This window comes from Homo sapiens, chromosome 1, assembly GCF_000001405.40.
Source record: "Homo sapiens chromosome 1, GRCh38.p14 Primary Assembly".
Taxonomy (NCBI): domain Eukaryota; kingdom Metazoa; phylum Chordata; class Mammalia; order Primates; family Hominidae; genus Homo; species Homo sapiens.
Genome location: NC_000001.11, coordinates 120176945 through 120185640, shown reverse-complemented (window position 1 = coordinate 120185640; position 8696 = coordinate 120176945).

The window sequence follows — 8696 nt, the reverse complement described above, 5'->3', positions numbered from 1 at the left end:
TTTCATATGTTGTCAAATAAAGTTTGTTGAGAACTTTTACATCTATATTTATAAAGGTATACTGGCCTGTCATTTTCCTTTCTTGAAGTCTTAGTTTTGGTGCCAGGGTAATACTGGCCTCATAGAATGAGATGGGAAGTGTTCTTCTTCTCCTTTTTTTCAGGGGGTGAAGAGTCTGTGTCCTATAAACATATTCGGCAGAAGTCACAGATTAAGCTATCTGAACCTGGGCTCCTCTTTGTGGAACATTAAAAAAAATTATTACTACTAATTGAATTGCTTTACTTGTTATAGGGTATTCAGATTTTCTATTGCTTCCTGAATCAGTTTGGGTAGCTTGTTTCTTTCTTGAAATTTGTTCATTTCATCTAGTTTATCTAATTTCCTGGCATATAACTTCTCATAATATTCCTCTATAATATTTTGTATTCCACAGGTTGGTAATAATGTCCCCTCTTTCATTTCTGATTTGATCCATGTGTTTTAAGGAAAAGTTTGTGTCCCCACGAGTATCCCTCCATAAAAAACAAAACCTCCAGAAAATTCTGTCTGAGACTAATTTCAACAGTTACAACGTTACAACAAAGACAAATTTAAAACAAAATGCCTCTGGTGTAATTTGTGGTAAATGATAGCTTGTGTTCAGACTAGACTTGATCATCACTGCTCAAAAAATGTCCTTTAAAAATTATGCAAATTTTGATACATCACCCATCATCCATTACTTCTATTTTCCAAAGTCTTGAAGTATTTTAGAAGTTCAATTAAGGCTTATCTCTTATCAGTATTTTCAAGTTTTCTCAGCAGCAATTCATAGAGCACATTGAACGAAATTAAGCAGCCACACAAAACCTGTCCAAAATCCAAACACAAGTGTAGCAATTTTAGATAAGGTTTTGTCATTTGTGGCAAATAAAACGATAAATACCAATAAAAATGCACATCCTATCCCACAAGTAATATAAAAATCTAGCATTTCTTTTGGTGTGGCAACTGCAATAAACTGGAGTACACAAACACAGTCAGAATAAGGAAATTCATAAGAAAGGCACTGTGTCACATGAAATTCACATAAGTGAGGTCCTCCACAAAAAGTGTATTACAGGGACAAACCCTTTTCCCAGCTAAAGGCTGGGAGAGAGAGAACAGCTGGAAGTCTCTGAGATCACCACCGCCACTGGAGCTGGCCAAGGGACACAAAGGTACTAAGATCATTTCTGCTCTCTGGTAGGAGGTGGGTCCTCCTTTGTGTTGGACTGCACCCTGTTCCCTTCTTCACTGAGAATCTGAGAAGTCTTGTGGTGATAGCTGAACACTTAAGATGCCAGCCTCAGAGTAGGTCATTCTGGTTTGCCCTATGCCATGTGGTAAGAAGCCAGTCAGCCTGCCCATTTGAGAAAGGCCTGCTGTTTCTGGAGTGAAGTCTGCCTAATTCTGGAGTGAAATATTAGCAGGACCTTTGCATCATCACAGATCTAAATGCAAGTTCTCCACTTAGTTTGATCAGTAATTAAAGTACTGTAGCATTATTAATTCTCTGTTTGACTTCTCTATTTCCCAATTTGATCTGAACTTAAAAGAGGAAGAAAGGATTATGTCTTGAGCTCCTAAAACTTCAACTCAAAGCTTTCATTGTAATATTCTCAAGAAGTGACAGTCTGCATAAATAGCAGATTTTTTAAAAAGGAAATTCCTCCTAGAACTTTGAAATTTTGGTTATTATCTGCCCGAGAGCTTGGAGGTAGACCTCCGTAGAGAAATGGCACACAGAGTTTGGGGCCTGACTTCAGATTTCCAGAACCAGAGGATCATGCTCCCTAATAAAAAACAAAGAAAAAGGTCTCATATCAGGTAGTGATGGAGTAAGAGGATGGGCCAGGGATTAGGGGAAGAACCAAGAGGGACTGATTAACAAAAATTACATCTTTGGAAGCTAGAGAATTCACCACAAGCAAACAACAACAACAAGTTAGATTATGACCCACTTTGTCACCTTTAATGTCATATTAGATTTAATTCTTTGGCAGGTAGAGCTGAATGAATTTGCCTAAACTTTTTTCCCAGGAACGATAGCAAAGACTAGTAATAACTGAAAGATCTGGCCAGGTATGGTGGGTCACACCTGTAATCCCAGCACTTTGGGAGGCTGAGGCAGGTGGATCACTTGAGCCCAGGAGTTCAAGATCAGCCTGGGCAACATGGTGAGACCTAATCTCTACAAAAAAAAAAAAAAAAAAAAAATACAAAAATTAGCCGGATGTGGTGATGTGTGCCTGTGGTCCCAGCTACTGGGGAGGCTGAGGTGGGAGGATCGCTTGAGCCCAGGAAGTCAAGGCTGCAGTGGGCCAAGATTATGCCACTGTATTCCAGCCTGGGTGACAGGGAGACCCCATCATAAAAAATTGAAAATAAAATAAAATACTACTACTATTAATAATGAAAACTGAAAGATCCTTAAGATTGTAAAGAAAAGTCAGTCTGAGACGGAAATTTTCACTAATTGCTGAAACACTGAACCACCACTATGAGTAGAGGAGAGATGGTCCAATAAAAGGAGCAGGAGCTGGAGGACTATTAGAGGAGGAAGCCAAGCTACAGCAAAGCTGTTGAGACAGCAGGTAAGATGAGGAAACTATAATGGCCGCTAGGAAAAAACAAATCCATTTAGACTCCACAGAAAGATAATAAAGCTGCAGGTCTGAAGGACAATCTCGTTGTATATTCAGAGTTAAAAAAGTCACCATCCAAAGCTTTTATTGTTGCAGATTGAGAGGTGGGAATGCAATGCGGGTGGAGGTGGGTTGGGGATAATGGAAGAGAGACAGAGCCAGCTAGAATGTAACTGTCAGAGGCATTCAAATCCGAATGACTCCATCTTGAATACAGGCTGGGTAAAATGAGGCTGAGATCTATGGGGCTGCATTCCTAGGAGGTTAGGCATTCTCAGTCACAGGATGAGATGAGAGGTTGGCAGGACTGGTATCACAAGATAAAGGTCATAAAGACCCTGATGATAAAACAGGATGTGGTAAAGAAGCTGGCCAAAACCCACCAAAACCAATATGGCAATGAATATGACCTCTGGCTGTCCTCACTGCTCACTGTATGCTAATTACAATGCATCAGCATGCTAAAAGACACTCCCACCAGCACCATGACAGTTTACAAATGCCATGGCAATGTCAGGAAGTTACCCTATACGGTCTAAAAGAGGGAAATCCCTGCCTCTTTCCCAGAAAACTCATGAATAATCCACCGCTTATTTGGCATATAATCAAGAAATAATCATAAAAATAGCCAACCATCAACTCTTGGTGCTGCTTTGTCTATGGAGTAGCCATTCTTTTGTTTCTTTACTTCTCTAGTAAACTTGCTTTCACTTTACTGTATGGACTTGCCCCCAGTTCTTTCTTGCAGGAGATTCAAGAACCCTCTCTTGGGGTCTGGATAGGGACCCATTTCCAGTAACATATATCATGTTCCTTTTGTTAACCTCTGTATAATTCAGTGCCTGATATTCCTAGCCCATAGTAGTTGAACAATAAATATTTGTTGAATAACTAATTGGAAGAATGAAAGAAATGGGGGTTGGACATGTTTTCACTAAGTACAATACCAACTGTGAATCGTGCTGTATACAACCAATGAGTATCATCTCAACCCATGAGACATGCCATTCATTCAGTCATTTAGTCCATAAACAGTAATTGAGCATTTGCTAGGTTCCAGGTACAGGATACTAGACCCTTGGGAATAACTAACTAGTTTTTCTGTCCTGAAAGAGTTTGGAGATTAGTAGTAGAAGAAATATGTTTTTTAAAAAAATTAAGTTCCATACAATATTTTAGGTGCTATCAAAACTACCCCAATTTTATATGTAAAATGTTTATTTAGAAACAGAATGCTTGTTAATCGGTACTGCAAGGAAAAATTGGCATTCAGACAAAAAGTTTTCTCAGCAAGATAATTTTACTTTCTGCAGAAAGAGTGCTCCTCGCAGATGGAACAATGGCGAGAGCACACCTGAACAATGGAGGGAAGAAATTTTTATCCCTTACGCAGCTTGTCCTTGCTACTGTGTCCTGTCTCCGTTGGCTGGAGCCAGACCGCACAATCTAAACTAAAACCTGACTGGCTAATAATTTAAAACTTTTCTAAATAGGTAAAAGCAATGGAAAGACAAAGGAAAAGAGGAAGTTGCTTATGAAAGGACTTAGAAAAGTAATAATATTCCTGAATAAGGAAGGGGCATAGGCTGTGAGCTGAGACATGCCCGTCAGCACCTCCAGCACAAATATTTTGGTTAAAGTACAAGGACATAGAATGTACTTATTCCTTTATGTCTAATAGCTACATAGGATAGGGCTTAACAGAGAGTTAATAGCACAAAGCAAGGAGGATTGAAGGAAGTTAGTCTTTAAAAGAAACTATTATTTCTAACACTTATGATTTATTCTTTAACAAGAAGGGAAACTCTGAAGAGGAAACTTTTTACTTTCTACACCCAATTATCCTACTCACCGCACACATCCCAAGCTCCAAGGCGTGAACCAGCTGGGCCTGCTCTCTGCTAGGCTTTCCTGACAAAGTAGGGAAACCAGACAGACATGTTGGAAGAAGTATTACGGTTTCATGAAATAGCTTCTTCTAGAAGGCAAGAGATAGCTTTGCTGTGGCTTGATATTTGAAATAGGCTATTTAAAGTCATAATTTTTTTTTTTTTTTTTGAGACGGAGTCTTGCTCTGTCACCCAGGTTAGGGTGCAGTGGCGCGCAATCTCGTCTCACAGCAACCTCCGCCCCCTGGGTTCTAGCAATTCTACTGCCTCAGCCTCCCTAGTGTCTAGGATTACAGGCGCCCACCACCACACCTGGTTAATTTTTGTATTTTTAGTAGAGACGGGGTTTTGTCATTTTGGCCAGGCTGGTCTCGAACTCCTGACCTCAAGTGATCCACCCGCCTCGGCCTTCCGGAGTGCAGGGATTACAGGCGTGAGCCACTGCGCCCGGCCAAAGTCGTAATTATTTTAAACAGAGGCTTTCACGGGACTTCCAAAGCGCACCTTGTTCTTTCCGGCTCATTCCCCCTTCCCCTCTAACCCTTCACTTTCACTTCTCTGACTGGATGCACTGTGCGGAGGACACAGCTAAGGGCTGTGAAAATTCAAGAATAAAGAAAAGTCCTGCCTTCACGCAGCTCGCACTGTGAGGAGGTTTAATCAGGGATGGTAATTCAAAATAACTCGTGTTTAATCACCAGTGCAGATGGTGTCAGTAAACCTGCCTGGGGCGCTGCTTCCCAACCCCCGCCAGGGCCTGCGCCCTGCAGCCCACCGGAGGCGTGGCCGGAGGGCAGGCGCCAGGGCGGAAGGCGGGGGTCGTTCTAATTCCCTGGGGGTAGCTAATGGCCATGCCTGGAGGCGAAGCTTTTCAAAATGACTAACTTGGAAAACCGCCAAAGACAATGGAATCTGGCAGAACTGTGGGGAGCAGGAATCTTAAGCGTTTGCATGTTGTTGGGGTAGCAGGGGCTCAAGAAGGGGATGCTCAGGGCAATAGCTTTTTTACTAATCTGTAAGAAAATGTTCCAGTATTTTAATAGCTGGTACAGCCATACTGATGCATACAGTCCAGATCGATAGATATTGGTCCAGATACAGTGGCTATCTGTTCTTTTGCCTTCCAGGAGCACAGTTTCTCAGAAGAAATGTTTTTTCCATGTATATAATCATGTAATTCAAACAGGAGCTGCAGTTTACTTGCAGACCTCCTAAGTGACAGTGTTTGGTCTGGGGGTAGATACGGGCCACAAGTTGCTGGGACTATTCTTTATTCGTCCTCATTACTTAGCTTAGTGTCTGGTATAGAATTAGGCACTCGATAGAATTGTTTAAGAATGAATGGACACAAACCTTTAACTATTGCTTCGTTTGATCTCACTTGTAAAATTTCTGCAACTGTGTGACTGCTGTAATGGAAAGTCTTATCCTGTTTAGGCAGCTTAATATAAGTTGGTTTAGATATGTGCATTTCACGATTTCTTTGATAAGTTTCAAGAATTTGCTGGCAGCTGTAACTATGACGTTCAAGGCTTATGTTTACTTTTTTTTTTTTTCCTAGTACAACATTTACAAACTCCAAGAATTTTATCCATTTCAGAGGTGGTTGTCAGATTTAGGGCAAAGGACATATGTGGGCTTTATAAATTTTAAAGTTCGGTACAAATGTTTGTTGATACTCTTGTTTAATTAAATGTAAAATAGTTGAGAACCTTCCATGTACTTACTGATCACAGTGTTAACCATTATTACACAGTACTGTATTGCTCCAAGAATCAAAGGGCAGCAGCTCAAAGACAACACTTGGATGTGAATGAGATGAAGCTGATCAAGTCAGAAGGAAAAGGAATTCAGATGCCAGAGCTCCCAAGGTCTGAATAGTGGGCAGTTTCAAGACAACTCTAGTTTTCTCCTGATGGCTGAAATTATTAGCAGCCTAAGATCACTATCCTTTTCCTGGAATCAATGTGTTCGAAGGGTGCCAGAGTCATCTAGTGTGTTTACAAAGGATAAAAGTAAGAGGTGTGAGTATGAATGTTGTTGTTCCAAGAAATAATTGCTCCAGGGTGACTCCATGCTTTTATTAGTTTGCGTGTGTGTGTGTGTGTGTGTGTGTGTGTGTGTTTTGGTTTTTAAGTAACAAACTAACTCAAAGTAGCCTAAGCAGGATAAAGAGGGAATTTGTTATAAAGAAGCAATAGTGTTTGATAGAACCCAATGGCAGGAATGTGTATGGGCCTTGGGAGGAGCCTAGAGTCAGGAACTGAAAAAAGATGTGGATTCTTGCTCCGAATTTGCTTCTCGGCACACACCTGCATTCTTCTCTCTCTGCTTCTCTAATCAACATGGCAGTCTGTATCCTTAGTTAAAATATTTGTAGCATTAATTCCCCATTACTCAAATGACCATCATTTGAGGCTGTGGAGAAGGCATGTCCTTGTTGAGTGGAAGGAAGGGAAATTAGAACAACTTATATCTATGGGCTATTTTAAATGTAAGGTACTATGATTCTACCAACTTAGACTCCCATATACACAAGGATTCACTTCCATTCCACTTTCTGTCTCTGTTAATAGCACAATTTTTTTTGTCTTATTTATTGTAGTCCTTCATCTTTCATGTGGAGTCAATCACTAGGTCTTATTGGGTTTTGGTCTCAAAAGTCTATCATTAAATAATATTACTTTTCTTAGCAGCATAATTCACAATTGCAAAGATGTGGAACCAACCTAAGTGCCTGTCAACTAATGAGTGGATAAAGAAAATGTGATACACACACACACACACACACACACACACACCATGGAATACTACCCAGCCATAAAAAGGAGTGAAATAATGTCTTTTGCAGTAACTTGGATGGAGCTGGAGGCCATTATTCTAAGTGAAGTAACTCAGGAGTGGAAAACCAAAAACCGTATGTTCTCACTTAAGTGTGAGCTAAGCTATGAGTACACAAAGGTATACAGAGTGATATAATGGACTTTAGAGACTTAGAAGGCGGAGGGTGGGAAGGGACCTAGGGTTAAAAAACTACTTATTAAGTAAAATGTACGCAACTCAGGTGATGGGTGCACTAAAATCTCAGCTTTCACCACTATATAATTCATCTATGTAACAAAAACCCACTTGTAACCCAAAAGCTATTGAAATAAGAATCTTTTTAATAAAGAAAATGCCACACAAAAATAATATTGGTTTTCTTCTAATCCTGAAGGCCAATATAAAAGGTAACAAAAGCCTGAGCTCTTTAATTAATGGGTACAAGTTAAGACAGAATCACATCAGGATTTGAAGTTGAACCTGAGCTCAAATCCTGTTCCCATCACTGCTAGCTCTCTGAGGCTTTCCTCTCAACTACAAAGTGGAGATATAATACTAAACAAGCTTACTGGGTTGCTTAACTAATATCTAGAACATACTTAACAGTGTTTCTATTAATGCGAGAACTAACTGTAAGCACTTAGTAAAGAGTAGTCATTATTAAGCAATGATAAATAAAAGCATTTGTATAATTCTTTTTTTAGCTTTTGAAAGCCTTGCACCTAGATTTTCTCATCTAATATTCATTAAAACCCTGAAAGGCCGATCATATCCCCACTTTAGAGATGGGGACACCAAAAAACAAAGAGATGGGAACACCTAGATATATCAGAGATCCTAGTTTTTATTTTATTTATTTATTTATTTATTTTTTTTTTTTGAGACAGAGTGTCGCTCTGTTGCCCAAGCTGGAGTACAGTGACGCAACCTCGGTTCACTGCAAGCTCCGCCTCCCGGGTTCACGCCATTCTGCCTCAGCCTCCCGAGTGAGTAGCTGGGACCACAGGCGTCCGCCACCGCGCCCGGCTAATTTTTTTGTGTTTTTTTAGTAGAGACGGGGTTTCACCATGTTAGCCAGGATGGTCTCGATCTCCTGACCTCGTGATCCGCCCGCCTCGGCCTCCCATAGTGCTTGGATTACAGGCGTGAGCCACCGCGCCCGGCCTGATCCTAGCTTTTTGTAGGTGACTGACCTAGGTGGTACAAGATGTCCTGTACTTGTTCATTTATTCACACATACAACACATATTTATTGACTTCTTACCATAAACTGTTTAAGGAGCCTGGTGGGGATACCGCATAAACAAACAAGCAA